Below are 23,584 nucleotides of genomic sequence, written 5' to 3' on the forward strand. Positions count from 1 at the left end.
ATGCAAAGAAGAAGGTGCAAAACAATGTGATCTTTACTATGTAAAAATTTACATGAAAGAGACTGGAAGCCTATGCATCAGAATGTTAATAGTTGTTGCTTTTAGGTAGTGCCATTGTGTGTAATACTTTTCTACACCTTACAAATTTTCTGTGATTGTCATATATTGTTTTCATAATAAGAAACAGATAACAGTTTCACAATTAGAGGACTAATACATCAAGAAGCTACTATTATCAACAGTTAAATTTCAAAATACAGAGTATCGATAGCTACAAAAATTTGCCCTATGACCAAGAGATTTTTTTTAATTTAGGAACCACTGGTATACCTTCAGAAAACAGTAGGAATTGGTGTGTGTGTAGGAGGTGATAATGAATCATATTTTTTTTTTTAGCTGTCAAACTGTTTTCTCCAGGCAGCAGTTCTGTGAGGTCCAACTGAAGTATGAGAACCTTGATAGTAGGGACATTACCAGAAAAATGGCCCAAAGGTCGATGGGGGGAGGAACAGTAAATGATCAAAAGAGTAAGGCAAGAGTCCATGAAAACAGAAGCGTCAATAGAGAAGGATCAATAACTTATTTGATCCAAAGGAACTGAAAGCAGGAACTAAAACAGGTATTTGTACACCCACGTCCCTAACAGCATTATTCACAACAGCCAAAACATGAGAGCAACCTGTGTCCATCAACCCGTGTCCATCACATGGATATATAAAATGTGGCATATCTACATGGCGGAATATTATTCAGCCTTAAAAAGCAAAGAAATCATGTCAATGCTACAATGTTGTTGTAATCCTACAACATTAGACGAACCTTGAGGACATTGTGCTAAGTGAAATAAGCCAGTCACAAAAGGACAAATACTGTAGGGTTTCACTTATTTGAGGTACCTAGAATAGTCAAATTCAAAGAAACAGAAAGTACAATGATGGTTTTCAGGGGAGCTGGGGGGAGGAGGGAATGGGGAGTTGTTGTTTAATGAGGACAGAGTTTCTGTTTTGCAAAATGAAAAGATTCCAGAGATGGATGATGGTGATGGGTGCACAACAACATGAATGTATTTAATGCCAATGACCTGTGTACTTAAACATGGTTAAGATGGTAATTTTTCTGTTACATATTTTACCACGATTAAAATATATACATATATATTTTAAGTATCTGTATTTACATATAGATATAGTCTTATCTGTGTATATATATATATATATATTTCATCTATAAATATATGAAAGAAAGAAAGAAACCATCAGAATTAGAAGTCCTGAATAAGTTTCCGATTTGGAATGCAAGAAAGGTTTAGGAGTGTCAATGATGCAAGCATCAAATGACCTTATTTCTGAGACTAAATTCTTTAAATATAAATTATAGAAGTCAGCTCAGAAGTGAAAATCCAGATCAAAAGTGAAAATAAGAAGGGATACTGTGTGTAATTTGAACATAATATACCAAACTTCTTTGTGGTTTTTTTTTGAGACCCTCTCATAATAGCCAGCTTGGAAAAATTCCCCACAACTAGGAAAGAACCTACAAATCCAAGCAACATGATGACATTTTCTCATCAACAGGAAAAAACATAAGCATAAGGGAAACTCTGAGTGTCCTTAAAATGTACTCGATACCCATTTTGTGCTATTACCACAGATTTAAAGAATTCTAGAGCTGGACAGAAGCTCTCAGATAGAACTGTTCCAGGACTCAGATGTCTAAAGAGGCTTCCCCAAGGTCACTGAGCAATGCCAGATTTAAAGACAAGCCCCTGGAGAAGAGTTCTATTTTGTTTGTTGTGTTTTATTTAATATATTTATTAATTTTGAGATGGAGTTTCGCTCTTATTGACCAGGCTGGAGTGCAATGGTGCAATCTCGGCTCACTGCAACCTCTGTCCCCTCGGTTCAAGCAATTCTCCTGCCTCAGCCTCCTGAGTAGCTGGGATTACAGGCACACGCCACCATGCCCAGCTAATTTTTGTATTTTTAGTAGAGACAGGGTTTCACCATGTTAGCCAGGCTGGTCTCGAACTCCTGACTTCAGGTGATCCGCCCACCTTGGCCTTCCAAACTGCTGGGATTACAGGCATGAGCCACCATGCTTGGCCGTGTTTTATTTTTTTTAAAGAGGTGGCTATTTAAAGGTAAGAAAGCAAGTGTAATTGGAAGGCTCTTTCTACAAGTCATTTTATTCATTAATTTTGTTCAAAAAATACTTGAGTACATCTTGTATAACTCTGCCAGGCACTGGGCTAGGTGCTAGATGATGAACAATATTTCATCATCCTTCCTGTAGCAAACTGGCAATTACAATGTAAAGGAGGCATACAATGCTATTAGTACACATAAGAGGGGGCTCTAATCTGTTCTAGCTAGATTGGTTGAGGATGGCAACCCGAAGGTAGTGATATTTTTAATAATAATAGTAATCACTGTTATCACAGCAAGCTTTATTGACCACCATTATAGGTCAGATAGGGCTTTAAAACTTTCTATGCATAATTTAATCTTCCTTACAATCCTATAAAGTAGAATCTTACTGATGAGGAAATTGAGGCACAGAGAGGTCTCACAGCTCCTAAGTAGTGAAGTCAGACCAGATTGCATGTTTTTTCAAAATCTGCTTCTAGGGAAACCCAAACAAAGACAAGACAGGAATGAAACTTAAGGATCAGAACATTCAGGAAAGAACTGTGATGCTCTGAATAAGTAAAGAGGGAGAAATAGGGTAGGGTTACTACAGATGGGAGAGGCTGAGGAAGGATGGAAGGGATACAAAGCCCATGACCAAGAGCTCTGGGGCAGGAGTGGTTGATTTACATTTGGGATTTTCATAAAGTTCTGTGGAGTGGGAAACAACTCTCTTCTCCAACTCCCCATGAACTTGTTAGTGCTGTGATGACCTGGTTATGCACAGGCTGGAACACGTGCTCTGCAGAGGCCCCCATCAATCTGGGTACAGGACATTTAACAAATGGGTAAGAATTAAAGCAGGGAAGGAGAAGGATGAGGATGCTTTTAGAAGCATCGCCCTGAAGGCAGTCAGAGAATGGATTAGGGAAAATTTAGCAGGGAGAGAGTTGCTAATCCATTAACACAGATAAAAGGTCATGGTGACCAAGAAGAAGGACATGACAGATAAAGTAGATGGGTTTGAAAATTGTTGATAGGTAGAATTCTGACCAGATTTGCCTTCTTACTGGATTCTGAAGGTGAGGAGAAAGGATCAATAAGTCACAGGTTTCAAGCTTGGGTATTTGGATCAATTTGGAACCTCTTGGATATGAGGTGCCAAAAAGATATTCAAGTGCAGATGCCCAGTGGGCACTGGAATATTAGTAAGGAGCTTAGAGACTGATAGAAAGAACCTGAAAAGGGCAATGAGAAGGAAAAGCAAGAAGGGTAGGGTGAGTCTTCAAAGGCCAGGGAGGAGAACGAGTCAAAGCCTGCTCACCACTGAGAGGTTGGGGAAGACAAGAATCCAAATGCATCTGACGAACGTGGCCCACAGGAAAGAGAGGAGGGCGACTATTGGCTTTGGCTACAGCGGAATCCACTTGGTCACCGGTGCAAAAGCCAGACTGGAACAGCCTGAGGGGTGGGCAGGAGTGAGGACAGGGAGGGAGTAACTAGAGACAATCCATCCAAAAGGCTGGCCCTGGCAGGAGAAGTGAATGGAGAGGTAATGAAAGGCAGGGTGATACTGAAGGCCTGTGTTGTTTAAAATGGGAAAGACTTAAGTAGGTTTCAGTGCTCGCAGGACAAAGTCAGTGGGGAATAAAAAGTACACGGTCAGAGAGAGAAAGTCTTTGAGAAGGTGAGAGGGAAGGGCATGGGGTTCAGGGCCTTGGACACGAGGAAGGACTCCCCTTCCACTGAAACAGGAGGCAAGGAAAGCCAGGCAGGTGCAGATGAAGAGTGCTGATTCACAGCGAGAACCTAAGTGAGTCCACCTTCTGGACTCTCTTCCCTCTGTGACAGCAGAGGGATGGCCAGTTACTGAGAGTAAGTAGTGAGATGCAGGAGGTGGAGAGTGGGCAGTGTGTGCAGAACCGCTGGGAGATGCAGGGGCACTGGGATGGCACGGATCAGCAGCTGGAGAGTGGAAAGCTGCCTCCTCAAGTGTGCTTCTCCCGCCTGCCAAGTCATGGGCGCCACATCCCAGTCCTCTATGCATGTGTGGCATCTATCAAACAACACTAAGAACATAAACAAAACCGTGACTATGCTGAGCAGGGCCTTGGGAGAAGTCGCATCTTCCACACAGTGAGATCCGGGAAGTCAGCTGTAGTAAGTGACATCAATTTTCTGTAGGCCTTCATCGCATATGTACAACAAAGACAATGGTCTACACAGAACACGATGGCCCCCCATGACAACGTGCAGCACAATCCGTCTTCATTCTATAGTCAAACCCAGTCTGTCTGTGCAACCCAAATGGGGGATTTTGACGGAAATTACATCATTAGTAACAGACCTTCATGTTTGGTCTGAGCCAGATTTTGTTTCTGGTGCTGTCAACCCTACTAAATGTGGGCAGGTGATCACAGTCCAGGCTCTTCCTGGCTGCCCGGGTGATGGTGGGAAGCTGAGTGGGGAGAGGCCTGTCCTGGCCACTTCTCCCAGGCTCGGCTCTCCTTCCCGCTTTTGCCAGGAAACTGCTAGAGAAAGCAGAAACAGGGGCCAGGAGCTGAGCACAAAGATACAAGTCCAAACACAGGCTTGGGAAGGTGGTATTTCAAATGAGTGGAGAGGACGACGTAAACTTGAAATGCGTTTCCTTGCAAAGTCCTTTTGTAGAGACAAATAATTCTGGTAATGAATATGAAGCATCCCCGGGTATTTTCAGAGCATGCATTTCCCAAGGAGCTCAAAAGAAAACACTTTAATTCTATATCCTTTTGAGAGAATGGGAATTAAATAACAAAACGTGACCGATTCAGCCAAATGGGGAGTCTATTATGAAGAGTGAGACAGCTGAATCACAGCAGAGTGGAATGCACTTTTGCTTTATATGTTTTTCCTTTACTCATTCCTTTTTTGGTGTTCCTTTATTATAAAGTTAATATATTATTACCAGCCAGCAGTTACATAGTGCTCACTATGAACCAGGCACAGCTCTAAGCCTTTTGTATACTTTAACCCAAACCATGAGGCACGTACTCTTATTCTCCCCATTTAGGGAGAGAGACAAGAACGTCGATTCCTTCGCCGGTGTTCAGTGGCAGAGCTGGTATTCCAATCCAGGCAGCCCAGCCTCAGAGTCCCGCGCTAATCACTTCCCTATACCACCACACCATGAAAGCACCAAATTCAAAGTCCTAAAATTTAGGGTATCAAAAGAGAGCATCACCATTTACTGTACCTTTCTAACAGAATAATTTGGGTGCATTTCCTACTCTATTCAGCCTTTGGTTTCCAAATCAAGGAATCTTTTAAAAGAAAGAAAGTTCTATATTCAAATAAATATGCTCAACCAAACCGTTTACAAAAACCTTTCCAAGTAGAGATTCTACTCATAGACAAGGCTTCTTTAAAATCAGATCTACTTTTGCATACAATATACTTGTTATTAAAACAATTTTTTCCTTTACAAGCATCTTTACATTATGAAAAACATCTTTCTTAAGAGTATTTATTTTTTGTCTGGCCCACATTTCATTATAATAAGTTCCAAATCACTCATTTTTGAATCCACACATATCCAAGTTTTCAGATAAGAAAAGTGAAGTTAATTTTGTTCTTCTTGAAGTCGCCTGCAGGCTCAGGCTAGATCTCACTTTTTATGGTCTATTTCTGTGCAGATAAGAACATCACATTTAACATGGGAATGTTGGAACTTCTGGAGGCTTCAGCAGGGTTAGCTTCAAAAAACAAGCAAAAAATGCCTCCCACCACATACAGCTTCTATCAGTGATCTTTGACATAAATGTTTCACGATATAGAAGTTAAAGAGTATGCCAGTCACTTGAGGGTTGACCAATGTGAACTGTTATTTCCTAGACTTGAGTACATGCCGCATGTGGTCTATATAAACATTCTTTAAGTTCCTTTGAAATAGACCCACACATATATGGAAAACTGATTTTCAAGAAAGGCGCCAAAGCAATTCAATGGAAAAAGGAAAGTCTTTCCAACAATCCATGTTAGAACAACTGGGAAAATGTATGCAAAAATATGAACCTTGACTTCTACTTAACCCCATATATAAAAATCAACTGGAGATAGATCATAAACTAAAGCATAAAAGCTAAAGCTATAAGTCTTCTAACAGAAGGCACAGAGAAATATCTGCACAATCCTGGGGAGGCAGATTACTTAGGAAACAAAAAATACAGATAATATAGAAATCTTTGTTTTAATTTTTAAAAATATATTTTATTTTTTTGTAGAGAGTTGAGGTCTTGCTATGTTACCTAAGCTGCTCTCAAACTCCTGGGCTCAAGCGATCTTCCCCTGCCTTGGCCTCGCAAAGGAAAAACATTTTTGATCAATGAAATTATTTCAAAGTTAAAACCTTCTGCTCATCAAAAGACACTTTTAAAAAACAGCAGGTAGACCATAGACTGGCAAAATATTTGCATTATAAACTTCTGACAAGAATATTTTATTCAGAATATGTATAACATTCCTACCAACCAAAATAATAAGACAATCCAATTTTAAAACAGGCAAAAGAAAAACAGACTCAAACGACTTGAACAGACACTTCAAAAGGGAAGATACACAAATGGCCAATAAGTATATGTGATTCATCTAGAAAATGCAAATTGAAAACTACAATGAGATACTACTTCATATCCAAGAGAACGACTATAAGTAGAAAAACCAGCAATATACAATGTTAAGATACCTGGTCACCTGGAACTTTCATAAATTGCTTGTTGGAGTGTAAAATGGTACGATTACTTTGGAAAATGACTTGGCAGTTTCTTACAGAGGTACACATACACCTAGTGTACGGTGCAGCAATTAAACCTAAAAAAGAGTGAGAGTGGGCCAGGTGTGGTGGCTCACGCCTGTAATCCCAGCACTTTGAGAGGCCGAGGCTGGTGGATCATTTGAGGTCAGGAGTTTGAGACTAGCCTGGCCAACATGGTGAAAGCCCATCTCTACTAAAATTTTAAAAATTAGCCAGGTGTGGTGGTGCGTGCCTGTAGTCCCAGCTACTCAGAAGGCTGAGGCAGGAGAATCGCTTAAGCCTGGGAGGTAGAGGTTGCAGTGAGCTGAGATTGCCCCACTGCAGCTCAGCCTGGGTGACACAGTGGGACTGTCTCAAAATAAAAAATAAAAAAAGAAAGAAAAGAAAAAGAGTGAGAGTGAGAGAAAACTCATTCACAGCAGCTTAATATTCATAGTAGCCAAAAATGGGGAAATAATCAATATGTCAGTCAACAAGAGAACAGAGTTTAAAATTGGGTCTATTCATACAATGGAATACCACCCAGCAATAAAGGAAGAATGATACAGACAACTATATAAAACTGTTGCGTGAAAAAAAAAGCCAGACGCAAAAGAGTATATACTGCATGATTCCATTTAGAGGAAGCTCAAGAACAAGACTGCAATGATAGAAAGCAGAAAGTTTTTGCCAGTGAGGGTGGCGAATGACTGAATGGGGCAAGAGGAAACCTGGTGATAGAAACGTTCTCTCTCTTAACTGGGGTCTGGGAACAGGAGTACACTGAATGTCTGTGCATTTCAATGCATGTAAATTTTACATCAATTAAAATGGAGGGATGGTAGGATTTCCTTAATTGTCTTGACATCCCCATGTCCTCCTGAAGAATGCAATTTGATTCGCACACTTAGATCCCATCAAATGGTGCCTGTATCTGGATTACTTCAGTTCACAACTAGCCATGGCTCTCTCTTCTCTGGGGGACCATCCATACAAGGTATTTCCTCCAGAGGAAAAGAAAGAATTTGCTGGTTCTCCTCTCATTCAACAGTAATAGCCAACCAATAGGCCAGGTCCCAGAACCAGTGTGGGAGTGTTCTACATTCTTGCAGTCACAGAATGTTTTTTTTAGGCCCACCATTTTTCAGCAGACATCTGACAATCCACACTCAGAAACATTCTTCATCTCTAGGAAGTTATGCGAAATAGGTGGGAGAAACAAGGTGTGGAAAGGGGGTGTTTGGCATAGGCTGATGATAGATGTTCTGGTCAATACCAGGAATAAAATCCCAAGTGTGTTCTGCTTGCCTGGGAGCTCACACCCTCAGAGCTAAGTAGATTTCACTACTCTCCATCTCTGCTTCCAAGGGCATGGCCTCAGAGGACTTGCTCTTTGATCTAGAACTGTACAGGAGGCTCTAAGCTGGTAAACAACTTACAGGGGTACAGAGGTCAGATAGGAGAAGGCCCTTATGACCCTTACTATCTTCAACTGTCTCTAAGCAGCTACATTAAAAATAGCTAACATCCATCACTATTACTTTGCAAATTTTAGAGATAGATTTTAGCCTCCTAGTATTGTGCTAGAAATGAGGCTAGGCCTGAGAAGAACCTAAAGCTTCCATCATGTTGCAGTAATTGGCCCTAACTGTGGAATACCTCTGAGAAAGATCTCCAGGGATTTTTCACAAAGAAACTGCTTTCTAAGTAAAAGGAGGGAAGCATGAGATGGAAACATCAATTCAGGCTTTCTTCTGACACAAACGGACACCACTTGTGTCACAAAAGTTAAAGAACTAGTCAACATCTTACTTTTCCCATCTTCACAGTGTCTGCTGACACTTTCAGGACCGACCTGACGAACATGACAAAGGGATAATTAACAAGGGTTTGGAGATTTTTTCCACAAAGGAGATGGGAAAAGAGAATGTGAATTGCTTCTTATAAGGAAAAGAAGAGGGAGTATGAGGGTCTATAGCCCAAGAAATAAATAGTACAGAAGGGAAGAATAGGAAATTCTCTCAGAAGCTCTTATGCTAAAGGGCAGGGAAGAAATCAAGCAAGCGTATCCACATTTAATTTGTATTAAGATCAGGAACAAGTACCACTACTTAAAGATTTTTTTAAATGACTAAGTTGGATGTTTTACAAGATGCAACTTTCTTCTAGCAACAAAGCTAAAAGATCCTCTTATGGGGCTCTATGATTAATGGCTATGTCTTTACTGGCTGGAAAGTGTATCTTTGTATAATAGTGTCAGCCCACTGTTTCCTCCCAATCCAGTAATTGTGAGGGTTTGTTTTCCCAAGCCCCAGTACCCACTGCAGTCATCATGCTCCATCTAATCTTTTTCCTGGCTAAATGCCTGACTAAAGGTATTTCCAATTTACTTGTTCAGATATATTTCTGACAAATCAACAAATGAAAGTACTTCTCCTTTCATGATGGCGGTCAGGGCGCCTGGAAGACCCCACTACGGTTATAAAAGGGGTATGTAGACCCACAACAACAACAAGTTTCAGGGGCCTGAGAGATTTCACCAAATGTCAGGAAGCCAGAAGGATGTGGGGAGAGCACTGAGCGATGAAGCTGAGCAGAGGCAGCTTACAGCCCGGAGAGTTCTGAGCGGGTACTGCCAAGGCAGTGAAGAGTTGATTTTATTCAGATGGACCCCAAACAGGCTCCAGACTCAGGAAAAGTAAGAACTGTGACAGAAGTGACAAGAAAGGTAGAAAGGAGAAGAGTAATTGAAAAGTCTGGAAATAACAATTATTCTTTTCATGACTACTTCCTGTCTTTATAAAAAAAAACCTTATAGCTTCCCCACTTCAGAGCAAAAATAAGAAAAGGGAGATAATTTTCTAAAAAAAATTAAACAAACGTCTGGTGAAGACTAAATAGCTAGTGTGGTTAAGAGAACCCCACAGTCAAGCCCTCCTCATTCTGACATCTAGCAGTTCCCCAGCAAGAGGGCTCAGGGTGGCTCTGTGTACCCAGGCTGAAGCCTGCTAGAGGCAGATGCTGTCATGCAGAACTTCTAGGCAGCCGTAATGGCACTTCATTTTTAAAAAGAAAATCAAATATATATTTTAAAAGTCTGCAACATGAAAGAGAAAAACCAAGATAAACAACAATAACAAAAAAGAAACAGAATATTTAAGAAAAAGATTTTTTTCTAAAAAAACTAAAAAAAAACCCCCAATTTATTAGTATTCCTGGAAATATTTGAGAATTACATCAACATAACAACAACAACAACAACAAAAAAGAACTACAAGAAAAAGCTCTATGAAATTAAAAATGCAAGCCTCAAATAACAATAGGGAACACTATGTGTGCACATGCTTGAGTAACTTAACCTCACACTTGTACTTCTTTTTTCCTTTTTTTCTTTTCTTTTTTTTTTCCTGAGACACAGTCTCATTCTGTCGCCCAGGCTGGAGTGCAGTAGCGTGATCTCAGCTCACTGCAACCTCTGCCTCCCAGGTTCAAGCAATTTTCCTTTCTCAGTCTCCCAAGTAGCTGGGATTACAGGTGTGCACCACCACGTGCAGCTAACTTTTGTATTTTTAGTAGGAATGGGTTTTTGCCATGTTGGCCAGGCTGGTCTCAAACTCCTGACCTCAAGTGCTCCACCCACCTCAGACTCCCAAAGTGTTGGGATTACAGGCGTGAAACACCACACCCAGCCTTTGTATTTCTGATTTAATCTACCATATAGACAATACCTTACCTAGAATGTGTTATATTTTACAGTACTGTCAACAGTTTGTAATGGCATATGTGGACTATGTTCATGACAAAGGGACAGTGCCACCATGTCCACTGTTCAAGAAAACCTGAGTCTGTTTTTAACTCCTCTGCAAGTTTACAGTTTACTTCTCTCAATACCTGCTCATCTTTTCTACAGAAGGGGAGTAACCAAAAGTCACAGGTTTTTTTTGTTTTCGTTTTGTTTTTTTGAGACAGAGTATCACTCTGTCACCCAGGCTGGAGTGCAGTGGTACAATCTCGGCTCACTGAAACCTCTGTCTCCCAGGTTCATGCAATTCTCCTGCCTCAGCCTCCTGAGTAGCTGGGATTACAGGAGTGTGCCATCACACACGGCTGATTTTTATATTTTTAGTAGAGACAAGGTTTTACTATGTTGGCCAGGCTGGTCTTGAACTCCTGACTTCAGGTGATCCGCCCACCATGGCCTCCCAAAATGCTGGGATTACAGGCATGAGCCACTGTGCCTGGCCATGTTTTGTTTTGAGACAGAGTCTTGCTCTATCGCCTAGGCTGTAGTGCAATGGCACGATCTCAGCTCACTACAACCTCTGCCTCCCGGGTTCAGGTGATTCTCCCGCCTCAGCCTCCCGAGCAGCTGGGATTACAGGTACCTGCCACCATGCCCAGCTAATTTTTGTATTTTTAGTAGAAACGGGGTTTCACCATGTTGGCCAGGCTGGTCTTGAACTCCTGACCTCAGTGATCCACCTGCCTCGGCCTCCCAAAGTTCTCGGATTACAGGCATGAGCCACTGCACCTGGCCCGGTCATGTTTTTAGAGTGACATATGAAGACTCCTAGAAAATATTAATACAGAAGAACTAGCTTACTATGAAGATTTCAAAATACTAATACAAATTAATGAGGTACACGTGAAATCTTCCCTGGGGAACTTCATGAAGAAGATAAGCATCCCTCCTATCTGGGTAATTTGCATACCCTCCTTCCTTAAACGCTGAGGCACGGATTGGTTCATTGGTTCAAAACCCTATCCATTATTCTCATAGCTCTCTTTATATGACAAAAAAATTCTGTCATGTCCCATTTACTACTCTAAAATCAAATTTGTTGATAATATTAACTACTGTACATGCAGCTTTAAAACATGAATATCCTAAATGTACATAAAAGATAATCTAAAAGAAGCAATTTATAATAAAAAATACTTCACATTTCATTATATAAATAATTTTCAGGTACAATTAACTATGTAATCAAATAGATGCTTGTAACTTACTTATAAAGAAGAAGCTTGTATTTAAGAGAAGTCAGATTAGAAGCTTTCCATATTAAAAGTGCAGGAAAATGAAAGAAGTAGTATAGGTGGACCAGAGAATGAAAATGAATCTATTCTGTGTATATTAAAAGTATGCAAAAATTATTTTGCATTTTTATGAAAAAATAAAGTCTAGGTTCAGAAAATTATAAACTGATCTTTCCCTACACGAATGTCCAACAGGATAACTGAAAGTCATGTGTACTACAGGGCAATTCTTTATCTCTTTTCTACTGTGGGACATTAAGTTCTCTCGCTCTCACTCATGAAATATCCTTCATTAGGCTGGGCGAGGTGGCTCATGCCTGTAATCCCAGCACTTTGGGAGGCCGAGGCCGGCGGATCACCTGAGGTCAGGAGTTTGAGACCAGCCTGACCAACATGGGGAAGCCCCGTCTCTACCAAAAATACAAAAATTAGCTGGGTGTGGTGGCTTGGGCCTGTAATCCCAGCTACTCACGTGGCTGCAGCAGGAGAGTTGCTTGAACCCAGGATACGGAGGTTGCAGTCAGTTGAGATCACACCACTGCATTCCAGTCTGGGCAACAGAGTGAGACTCCATCTCAAAAAAAAACCAGAAAAATCCTTCATTGTACCACCAGAATACCCTCATAAATTTCCACTCTGTCACCTAGGGGGCGGTACTGCTTCCATGAGAACTCCTGACCAGATCATCTATGGGAGTTTCCTTTTAGTCTTCATCGTCCGTCGCACTGAGAATCAAATCCTGATGGACAAATCAGCAACATAGCTAGGAAGCACAGTAACTTAATATAAAAAAAGACTATGAAGAAATTAATTTAGTTTAGGCTTATGCCATTAACTGTAGCCATATTCAACATAATTTCCTCTTTTTGAGTTCAGGATGATTGGTTACTCCACATAGAACATGGAGTGGAAAGCTGTATCTTTGTGACTTTTATTTAGATAGCACAAAATGAGCCTGATTTTTAAAATGTGAACATTCAAACCTGGCTAACTAATGATAAAAAAGGGAGTTTTTCATAGAACTCTACAACTCTCATTTCCTCAAAACAAGAATTAATGCATTCTTTCACATGCGGTCATTACAGGAAGGGGGGGTAGCCATTTACTGTAAATGCCTTTCTGATGCAATTCTACTACCTCTTTCAAAGACAGAATTCATCCAAGAAGCCTTAGTCACTTCTTCAAGAAAAATGCCACCGCGCTGAATGTACACAGACTAAACCACATGCCTAAGGAAAAAAGATGAGCTGATTCCACCATTAGAACACAGTTCGGGAGAAAAGTGGCAGAGAGAGAGAGCTCATAGCTTGTCAGAGCAGATCAAGTAGTATGTCTGAAAATCCGCCCTTTAATGTAACAGTCACTGTTTCATAAATCAAATGCAAACATAGATTTCCCCTCTGCCTAACTTTTAAAGTATACTTCCTAAAAATATAAGACCCCACTTCTAAGCCAGTAGCAACTGTGGTGATTTAATTTTTAAAGTTTCATGCACGGAAAGAAAAATGGAATCTTATCTTTTAAAATTTGAAAATGAAACTATGTTTTGAAGAGGGTAGATTTCACAGGAAAAGGGTAAGACAGTGGATAATACGATAAAGCAGTTTGGATGGAAAAACTTCAGACAAATAGTTCTGAACTCTTCTCAAAGAGAGGATCAATTTTTCTAAAACCTCAAAACCACCCAAAGGGAAAAAAAGGAATAATTTCTCCAGTTTATCCTTACCCGGATGAGCATGAATTCTTCTAACAGCCAGATGCACACACTTGTTTTTATGGAGGAGTTACTGCTGAGCCAAAGCCCAGGAGTCACTCAAGACTGGAGGCTGCGTGCTGCTGGAGCCCGAAATCCCCTTGATGAATGAAACTGCACATCGTAATATACACATTCAGAGCGGGCTATTGGCTAAATGAAGGCAATGCGTGTGGAAGTCTGATTTGCCACCTTCAGGGCAGGCGTCTTATATCCTAATTCAGAAAGATGACAGGCTTTTTTTTTTTTACTCCCTAGACAGTCAAAACTAGAAAGGGTTCGTTTTTCTGTAGCCTTCTCCCCAACCCTACGGAAACCACAGAGAGAACAAACCACAGTGAGACTTGACTCCTTAACTAGGCAATGCCAATGAGAAAAGAATTATGTTGACACTGGCAATTTACAAATAAGTCTCACACCACTGCCAAAGCTTGTTCGTGTTACATGACTGCCCGAGAGTCATACATAGGTATGGGGATGGTTTGGCTCATTTTTTAAGCCAAGAATTCTAAGCCGTAATTTTGGGGCTCCCTGAGGGTAGCAAACTTTACCAAAGAGTGGTAAAAACTCTTAAAAATATATTAATCTTTGTGCTATACTAGTGATCAACCAAAACATTAAAAACTAAGAATTACCTAAGTTTGGACTCAGAATCTCTGGGGAGGAGCCCAGGAAAATGAATTTTAACTGGCATCCTAGGTCATTCTTATGTCCTCTAAAGTTTGAGGACTACTTTTCCTGTTACTGGAACTGAACAGCTGATTATAGCTGCTTCCATCTTCCTTTATCATTCAATTATTTTGTCCTTGATTCCTGCTGAAGTCAGGAGTGACAAGAACAGCAAAGCCTCCTCAGGACAACTTGTGGCTTCTAACTCCAGGGAAATAAAAGGAGAGCCAGGCTGGGTTCACTTGATCTCCCCTCCCCACCTACCTCTGCTTCACTCCACCAAGACAGAAAAGTCCAAGCTGCAGAAACCTGGAAAATGCAGTACTTGAGGGCAAATATGAATATTACACTAACAGATGCTACAGCTGGAAAGCGAAAAATATACTGCCAAAGAGAAGAGGAAGAAAAAGAGAAAGAATACTAATGCTCACTGATTCCTTACTATTGTAGAAAAAACTGGGTTCTTGTCACATGACCAGGAAAAGTTACGCACACAGACCCTTTGAAGGGTGAGGGGTTATGGAATCTATTGGGCAAAAAGGAAAAAGACTCTCAGCAAAGCAAGATGAGTTTTTATGAACAGGCCCCCATCTCACAGATTGAATCCCAACTCACCACCCAGGAACAGGAGAGGCCAGGCTCCTAGCTGCAAAGGGTGAGAACTTCCTGAGGCTCCATCCCCTCCTCCCAGTGCACAGGCTGGTGGGAGACTCTCCAGGGACCTTCCCCCTTATCTTCCTCCTGCATCGATCATTACTATGTTCCAGACACTGCATCAACAACTTTATATGCAGCTTTCTTTGCCAAAGAAGTCTCACCAAAAAAACTTCTTCGAAAGTATCTGAACACACAAACTCAGGTGTCTACATCTCACAGCAGGGACACATGGTGCATCCTCCACGGAAGAAGCCGTGCTGGCTAAGTGTGTCCATTTCTACCCCAACTGCCCTATGAACAGAAAGGATTTCTAAAAAAGGAAACAGAGAAATACTGTTGGAAATGTATTTAAAACAAATCATCATCTTTCCGTATTTCCTTTTTTTTTCTTTTTTTTTTTTTGGAGACGGAGTCTCACTCTGTTGCCCAGGCTGGAGTGCAGTGGCGCGATCTCGGCTCACTGCAACCTCCACCTCCCAGGTTCAAGCAATTCTCCTGCCTCAGCCTCCCAAATAGCTGGGATTACAGGAGCCCATCACCACACCTGGCTAATTTTGTATTTTTAGTAGAGATGGGGTTTCACCATGTTGGCTGGGCTGGTCTTCAACTCCTGACTTCAGGTGTTCCACCTGCCTCGACCTCCCAAAGTGTTTGGATTACAGGCATGAGCCACCACACCCGGCCCCGTATTTCCTATTCTTATTCCTTCTTTATTCAACCTAAGATTGTGTGGCCTCTCAGAAATTTCAGAGAAGACTCCTGTCATCTGTTCTCCATTCTAACCCGTTTATTTCAATCCAAAGTACTGGGGGAAACCCCATCATTATAATATGACTTGAAAATATTATTTGGACATCACCAACAACTATCAACATTTTTTTTACTTTAATAAAAAGGGTTTTATCTTTGTCTCCAATATGCATAATGTTCCTAAGGAAACTTTCTAGAGAAGGGGAGCTCAACTTAGAAAACAGCTTATTTAGGAACAAGTTTTCCAAATCCTCCCCCGCACCTTTGTTTCAGGATGATTACGCATGGTGGTATCCTAACACAAAGGGGAAGGAAGCTGACTTCTGACTTACTACTATGAGCGGATCTGGTACATTTGGTATTCCAAGTGTTTTGCCTAATAGGTAAATGCAGATCTGTTGGGGCAGTGTTTCTCAAATTGTGTTAGCACTAAAACCCCTTGTATTCCCCTAAATGAAATCTTGGGTGAAGGTCCAATATCCTCACATGCTCGCTGCTGTGGCGGGTGGGCTGCGGGGCCCACAGGCCTTCCTTATTTGGGCCCACTTTCTCAACTCACCCCCAGGGTCGCTACAGAGGCAATGCTGCCAAACCCCAAAGGCTCTGTTTTCTATTTTCTCAGACGTTGATGATTTTTTAAATTAATACTTTATCATTTTATTTTATGCATGCCTTTGCGTCTCAAAGTGGGGCATACATTGAAACATTTTCAAAGTCATGTCCAGTCATGCTACGTGCAACACTGAGCTTAGGAATTCTGGGACATATTTGGCCAGTGTGGACCCTGACATGAAAATTATAATTTCCATCTGTATCCCTTTGGAAACAACACCTTTAATATATTTGCAAGTTCAAGGTCATTTTAGAAACACAAAATTTTGCAGAGATATAAAGTTTAAATGAATGAGAATATCATCTTGATGATTAAGATCCCTTGCCAAATTTCACTTCCACTAGTGAGCATTAGTTTGCTACATAGGGGACAGTAAGCTTTGGACTATATATTAACACTCAAGCAAATATATATATATATATTTGTACACTGTGTATGTGTGCCTGTGTGTGTGCGTGTATACCTCAGCTCTAAAATGGGAAATGAATTTAAAGTGCTGCTAGGTAATTATTATCAAAAAAATTTATTAATAATATCAGGTCAGCACAGAGAACAAAGACTGAAATTCCTTCATGAAGAGGCAATATGTACTTCTTCTGCTAACAAAAGTTTAATAATCTTTTCTTTTTCTGAGTGTTATTTCTCAGAAATAACACTTTTTTTTGTTTGTTTCTTTTTTTCAGACAGAGTCGTGCTCTGTTGCTCAGGCTAGAGTGTTATAGCACAATCTCAGCTCACTGCAACCTCTGCCTCCCGGGTACAAGCAATTCTCCTGCTCAGCCTCCCGAGTAGCTGGGATTACAGGTGCCTGTCACCATGCCCAGTTAATTTTTGAATTTTGAGTAGAAAGGGGGTTTCAGCATGTTGGCCAGGCTGGTCTTGAACTCCTGACCTTAGGTGATCTGCCCACCTCGACCTCCCAAAATGCTCTGGGATTACAGGCGTGAGCCACCATGTCGAGCTGTTTCTCAGTTTTAAAAAAGATAATGTGTCTCATTTGGCAAAGCCGTCACATTTCAAATGTATGTAAGAGAAAATGTCCAGAGTGAAGCAGCTATCCTGGGTCACCTGGGACCACTAACCTGAATCAGGGAAGGTCCCAATGTTCTGTAATCAACTGTCCCATAGAATAAACAGTGTTTAAAAGAAGGGAACTTTATATCCAAGCAAGTGTCAGAAGCATGTACACAGAAGGAATAAAAGTGAACCGTCTTTTCAAAATCCATGTTTAACCATATCCTTGCTTTCAGAATACTCTCAATTTCCTATGATTTCCATTTTAATTTATTATTGACAATAAAATAATTATGGAAGCACTGTAGTAGGACTTACAGTTATCTAAAAATAGTCAACCTCTTTCCAAAAACAGAAGCATGGTTAAGAGAAATAATAACATCCTAGCACTTTGGGAGGCTGAGGCGGGCGGACCACCTGAGGTCGGGAGTTCGAGACCAGTCTGGCCAACATGGTGAAACCTCGTCTCTACTAAAAATACAAAAATTAGCTGGGTGTGGTGGCGGGTGCCTGTAATCCCAGCTACTTGGGAGGCTGAGGCAGGAGAATTGCTCGAACCCAGGAGGCAGACGTTGCAGTGAGTGGAGATCGTACCACTGCACTCAAGCCTGGGCAACAGAGTGAGACTTCGTCTCAAAAAAAAAAAAAAAGAGGGCGAGAGAAATAATGACATTAAAGTAGTCCTCAAATACTTGCTTATGTTCCCAAAATGTATCCATATATTTGTGGTTTAGGACTGAGGCTACTTTTCCCTTAGGAATATTGCTGCTAATGATAGTACCCAGGTCATTTCACAAAACTTATTTCATATCATGTATCCTATATGTAATATTACATATCCAAATGAAATATATATTTTAATTGTGTTGCAATACTAATAATTATATAAAGCATAAAATAATAACTAAGAATGATTTTATCTGTATGCAAATATGAGAAGGTTTAGTCAGGAGGAAGCCAACTGAGACTCTCAAGAGCTTTGGAAGTTGATGACACTGGTTATTATGCCTTACTTTACCTCCAAATATATCATGTGCTTTTCCCTTGATACAATTATATCACTATTCTCTCTCTCTCTCTCTTTTTTTTTTTTTAAAGAGATGGGGTCGCTGGGCACAGTGGCTCACACCTATAATCCCAGCACTTTGGGAGGCCGAGGCGGGCGGATCATCTGAGGTCAGGAGTTCGAGGGCAACCTGACCAACAAGGAGAAACCCCGTCTCTACTAAAAATACAAAATTAGCCGGGCATGGTGGTGCATGCCTGTAATCCCAGCTACATGGGAGGCTGAGGCAGGAGAATCGCTTGAACCTGGGAGGCAGAGGTTGCAGTGAGCCAAGATTGCACCATTGCATTCCAGGCTGGGCAGGAAGAGTGAAACTCCATCTGAAAAAAAAAAAGAGATAGGTTCTTGCTATGTTACCTGGGCTGGACTTGAACTCTTGGGCTCAGGTGGTCCTCCAGCCTCAGGCTCCCAAGTAGCTGGGTCTACAGGCATGTACTACAGCACCAGGCTATATCACTACTCTTAAGCTCATCCGCTATGACTAATACTACTGGGGGCTCTCCAAAATTACTAATACCACTGGGGGCTCTCAAAGTGGGAAGAAAGAAAAAAAGCTTAGAAAGAGAAACAGATTTACTTGAAATATGGAAGAAATGTGATAAAAAGTATGTATGGAATTAACAAGACAACCTCAAAAAAAGGCAGAAAGAGAAAAGAACATAATATTGAAAGTTTTCCCAACTTAGATGGAAAAGGTGCTGGATTGGATATATGACCTGAGCCAGGACAACCTGGCTGCTCTGTGAAGCAGAGGACAAGAGGCTGACCAAAGGCAGGTGATGTGTGTGACCAGCCATGTGCATGAATGGGATGTGTGCAAAGCCAGCGTGTATGAACTGGGAAGGCCTTGTGTGGCAAATGTGGTAAGAATTTAGTGGTCAGTCTTTCAAAGAGATAGTCATTTGGTCTGGCTGGTGATTCAACTGATGAGAGCCCAAAGTCAAGAGTTCAGTGGTGGTGTGTGTTCGGCTTCATGGTCGTAGAGCATGAGCAGGAGGAGTTAGCTCCCAAACATGGTGCTGGCCAAGAAGGACCAAGCCAGAGCCCATGGACAGCTCAGTATAAAGCAACACGGCCTCTAGGGCTCTGTTCTTAGAATAAAATCATTTTCCTGCATGACACTCTTAATTCCTTACTTAACTGTGGAGGAGAAGAGGGGTGTAGATGTTAAGATATCAGAATCTGAAAAATCCTTTACTATTAACATAGCTAACTTTAAACTGTTTACTGAAAATGATCATTGGACCCTATCTTACAGTAATGAGTTTTATGCATTTAATATTATAAATATGGTCTTTTAAATGACAACACAAACTATGACCTTACTAAATAGGCTGGTGACATGTTAAAGTGTGAGTGTGAGTGTGTGTGTGTGTGTGTCTGTAAGATTGGTGAATTCCAGTTCCAGTAGCAGGGGAAGTTAGGGAAGGGAATGAACAGGAAGGGATTTTTGGTTATAATCAAGGGTACCTTTTTTGGTTCTTGACAACAGTCAAACTGGTCTAACGCAATGTTTTTCAAACTGTAGGGTAATCCATTAGTGGGTTGTAAAATAAATCCAGTGCACTGAAAGCAGCGTTTTTATGAAGATGAAACAGACTAGAATAAAACAGAAAATAAGAGTTCACATTTAGTGGGGCAGCTATTTTTTCATAAAGTAGTTTCATATATGTGTATGTGTTGCATATACTTTTCCATGATGTAAAACATAATCCTTTCTGTGAGTTCCAGGAAAAATGGACTACTAGAAAAGAAGATTAAAGGCCGGGCGCAGTGGCTCATGCCCGTAATCCCAGCACTTTGGGAGGCTGAGGTGGGCGGATCATGAGGTCAGGAGATTGAGACCATCCTGGCTAACACGGTGAAACCCTGTCTCTACTAAAAATACAAAAAAATAGCCGGGCTTGGTGGCAGGCGCCTGTAGTCCCAGCTACTCGGGATGCTGAGGCAGGAGAATGGCGTGAACCCGGGAGGCGGAGCTTGCAGTAAGCCGAGATCGCACCACTGCACTCCAGCCTGGGCGACAGAGCGAGACTCCGTCTCAAAAAAAAAAAAAAAAAAGAAAAAGAATATTAAAAATCACGTTTGAAATTAGGTGAGTGGATCTTGTGTGAATTTAATTTTAATCAGTGCTATGCTTCTATGTCCTTAACTTGGAAACCAACCCACAAATCAAGATGCATTTACATTAATCATCAACAATTCTAAAGATATCATGCAAGTCATTATTCACTCATTCACCCAGTGTGGTCCCTACTCTCCCCACAAGGGGTTATGGGGAGAGGATAAAATTTGAGAAAATAAAAAAAAAAATCCATGAAATACAGTCATATAATAATAGTTAACATATATTGAGTGCTTGTTATGTGCTGGTAGTATTTTAAGTATTTTTTACATCATTAACGCATTTTATCCCCTTAATAATCCCATGGAGGTAGATACTAATATTATCCCTGTTTTCCAGATAAAGAATCTAAGAAATTAAGTCAGTTGCCTAAGAGGCAGAGCCAGTATCTGAACCTAGGAAGTCTGGGTCCAGAATCCTAATCCCAACTGTATCGTACCCTTAATAGTTAATGCCACAATCATCCATAATGGAGATTAAGACTCACACTGGAGAGAAAAGAAGGGAAAAAACACATGAAGGAAACATTACTGCTTGTGCTTTGCTGTCTGTCCTCATTTCTCCTGCTGCTCAAGTATAGTCCATAGTCTATGCTACAGATAGCCTCTTTTCCACTTTGATACCCTAATGCATTCTGAACACAGTTCTTAGCAAATTCATTCAAACTCCATCTCTTTCTTCCTTCTCTAGAAAACATGTAAGAATGCAATTAAGTGGGTTTCTACTTTTCTGTACTGAATCTAACTCTTATTTATTTCAAAGTTTAAAGGAATTCATTCTCAGGTGTTGGTTCTTAAACCTTTCGTATGAGCCGGTCATTTCTAACACATCTTCCAGGTCTTATCTCCCCCAAACCAGTGAATCCTGTCACAGGGGCGATTGCTGCTAGTCTGGCTAGACGGAGCTCCTAGGGGTGCCTCTTTCTTAGCACCCACTTGTGCTATTCTCCTCATTGGTTTTGAATAGAACCCAAATAAATCTCAAGTATAATGTACACTGTGGCAAGTGTACCAATGCATTTCAGAAAAAATATGAAAAGATATGTGCCCAAAATTTCTTATTCCTCTAATCTATCCATCCTTGTCTTCAGGTTATATAATAAGTCCTACAGATAGCGCCTAGACAGATAGTAAAATCAGTAAAAATCAACACTATTTTTGGTAGCATGGTTACCTTTCCTAGGAATTGGGTCCACGAGTAAGAACCTTACTTTTTAAATGTCGTTTAAGTGCTGGGTAAACACAATAAGCACTGTGTCCCTCATATGTGAGTTAAAATGGCCAGTGCAAATAAATCCTACAACTGAAGGACAAATAATATTTAGGTCTTCATCTACCAACATATCTTGGCCACATAATTTGATATTTTGCTAATGAAAATGCCCTGTGGCCAAACAAACATAGCATCTTTCAAACATTTTTTAAGAATCTTTAAAAATTAAGGTATCATGATGGACAGCACATTGTGATGTGGAGAATTAAATTATTAGAATAATTTGGTATTATTTAAAAACACAATGAAATATGCAGATAATCAGGACAAAATCTGGCCAGGTGCAGTGGCTCACGCCTGTAATCCCAGCACTCTGGGAGGCCGGGGTGGGTGGATCACGTGAGATTAGGAGTTTGAGACCAGTCTGGCCAACATGGTAAAACCCCGTCTCTACTAAAAATGCAAAAATTAGCCAGGCGTGGTGGCGCATGCCTGTAATCCCAGCTACTCAGGAGGCTGAGGCAGGAGAATCACTTGAACCCGGGAGGCAGAGGTTGCAGTGAGCCGAGATCGTGCCACTGCACTCCAGCCCAGGTGACAGCAAGACTCCGTGTCAAAAAAAAAAAAAAAAAAAAAAAAAAGACAAAATCTGAGGAGTAAGTAGACTGTGACAAGGCTTTACCATAATTTGCTTGTATATACATTCTCCAAATAACTTACTAAAATGAAGACAATGAAAGTTTAATATTCCTTTGGAAAATAGAGCTAAAGTAGAGTGCTATGAAAATAAAATTTCTCATTGAATAATACTGTCTACACGCCAGTGTCAATATCATTCAAGAAGCAGGAAATATGATTTTACTATTCATCACTGTAAAACTGTAAGTTATTTTTAGGTATATTTAGGTAATTTCTTTCAATAAACAGATTAAACCGTTTATTTCTACCAAGTATTCTTTGTGTTTAAAACCAATACTTTTGACATGGGCTTGGACAGATTCTCTGTAGTTTAAAAAAAAATAAAAGGATGATTCAAGTATGTACCTATCTAGTCTATCAGCTTCTAAGAAATATACAGCTTTTGGATAAAAGAGTAGTAATGTCTGCACTTAATTAATATGACACATTTTGCAAGTGGTATTAACATGCTGGGACTTTTTTGGGTGATGATGTGCATTTTCCCTGCCCCATTTACCCTGTTTCATTAGCTGCACCTGGGACCAAGAGGATTCATTTTTAAGATCATCAGAAGAGAGTAGTGTCTGGTTGTGGGAATGAGAATTTTTTTTTTAATTGGGAAGCTGAATGGCTTATGGGGCAGGGGATGGGAATCAAGGGTAGAATTGCAGCCTGAGCTAGTGTCATGCACTAATGTCAATTGCTCATGGTTAATATGAAAATTGTATCAACTCAGGAGAAAATAATGTGGAGAACAGCATTTTGTTTGTTAAAGCAATCTGGCAGAGGCCTCCCTAGAATATAGGAATTAGGGCAGTTGTTCTCTGAGTTGAAGAAAGGTACACTCAGCTGAGAAGGACAGGGAACTTCTCAGGGAGCAACTACTGTTAGAGAAGGAAGCAGTTGCAGTTTTAAAAATTATCCCATAAAACCTTCATTGTCATTGAAGCAAAGAGTGGGCCTCTCTCTTCCTTTCCTATCTGTACACATGGCAGGCTGCCCTCAATCTAGCAGAGTGGAAAAATAGTGTGAACTGGGTATAAGTAGGTTTTGCTTTCCACTACATTTTCCTAAGACAAATACTTTCCAAGTTGGGTATTTAAAAACAAAAAA

General features: G+C 40.6%; 1 long non-coding RNA gene across 10 annotated transcripts in view, besides 7 other annotated features; it reads right to left on the minus strand.

The window, feature by feature from the left end:
• Positions 1 to 23,584, minus strand: part of LINC-PINT (long intergenic non-protein coding RNA, p53 induced transcript) — a 232,364-nt gene that overhangs the window by 69,901 nt on the left and 138,879 nt on the right. Inside the window, exon 5 of one of the 10 annotated variants that reach the window (NR_109852.1) lies at positions 12,407 to 12,508. The exons of 8 other annotated variants lie outside the window; for them this stretch is intronic. This is a non-coding gene — a long non-coding RNA (long intergenic non-protein coding RNA, p53 induced transcript). Of the gene's footprint in view, positions 1 to 12,406; positions 12,509 to 19,926; positions 20,056 to 23,584 lie in introns of all 10 variants that reach the window. One more of the 10 variants, NR_109851.1, reaches the window with a different exon arrangement.
• Positions 3,433 to 3,601: a silencer, noted in NCBI's record as "fragment chr7:130635654-130635822 (GRCh37/hg19 assembly coordinates)". NCBI's record gives its function as "represses an EF-1alpha promoter that drives an FKBP-Casp9 reporter gene in an ReSE screen in K562 erythroleukemia cells {active_cell/tissue: K562}" and the evidence as "EXISTENCE:reporter gene assay evidence [ECO:0000049][PMID:32094911]".
• Positions 9,806 to 9,855: a silencer, noted in NCBI's record as "silent region_18652". NCBI's record gives its function as "represses an Ori minimal core promoter by ATAC-STARR-seq in GM12878 lymphoblastoid cells {active_cell/tissue: GM12878}" and the evidence as "EXISTENCE:reporter gene assay evidence [ECO:0000049][PMID:35858748]".
• Positions 10,657 to 10,716: an enhancer, noted in NCBI's record as "active region_26659". NCBI's record gives its function as "activates an Ori minimal core promoter by ATAC-STARR-seq in GM12878 lymphoblastoid cells {active_cell/tissue: GM12878}" and the evidence as "EXISTENCE:reporter gene assay evidence [ECO:0000049][PMID:35858748]".
• Positions 12,535 to 13,734: an enhancer, noted in NCBI's record as "MED14-independent group 3 enhancer chr7:130644756-130645955 (GRCh37/hg19 assembly coordinates)". NCBI's record gives its function as "activates an origin of replication core promoter dependent on BRD2, BRD4, P300/CBP and CDK7 cofactors, and independent of MED14, by STARR-seq in HCT116 cells {active_cell/tissue: HCT116}" and the evidence as "EXISTENCE:reporter gene assay evidence [ECO:0000049][PMID:35650434]".
• Positions 12,535 to 13,793: a biological region, named in NCBI's record as "MED14-independent group 3 enhancer GRCh37_chr7:130644756-130645955".
• Positions 13,061 to 13,150: an enhancer, noted in NCBI's record as "active region_26660". NCBI's record gives its function as "activates an Ori minimal core promoter by ATAC-STARR-seq in GM12878 lymphoblastoid cells {active_cell/tissue: GM12878}" and the evidence as "EXISTENCE:reporter gene assay evidence [ECO:0000049][PMID:35858748]".
• Positions 13,704 to 13,793: an enhancer, noted in NCBI's record as "active region_26661". NCBI's record gives its function as "activates an Ori minimal core promoter by ATAC-STARR-seq in GM12878 lymphoblastoid cells {active_cell/tissue: GM12878}" and the evidence as "EXISTENCE:reporter gene assay evidence [ECO:0000049][PMID:35858748]".

Source organism: Homo sapiens, chromosome 7 (assembly GCF_000001405.40).
Source record: "Homo sapiens chromosome 7, GRCh38.p14 Primary Assembly".
Lineage (NCBI taxonomy): Eukaryota > Metazoa > Chordata > Mammalia > Primates > Hominidae > Homo > Homo sapiens.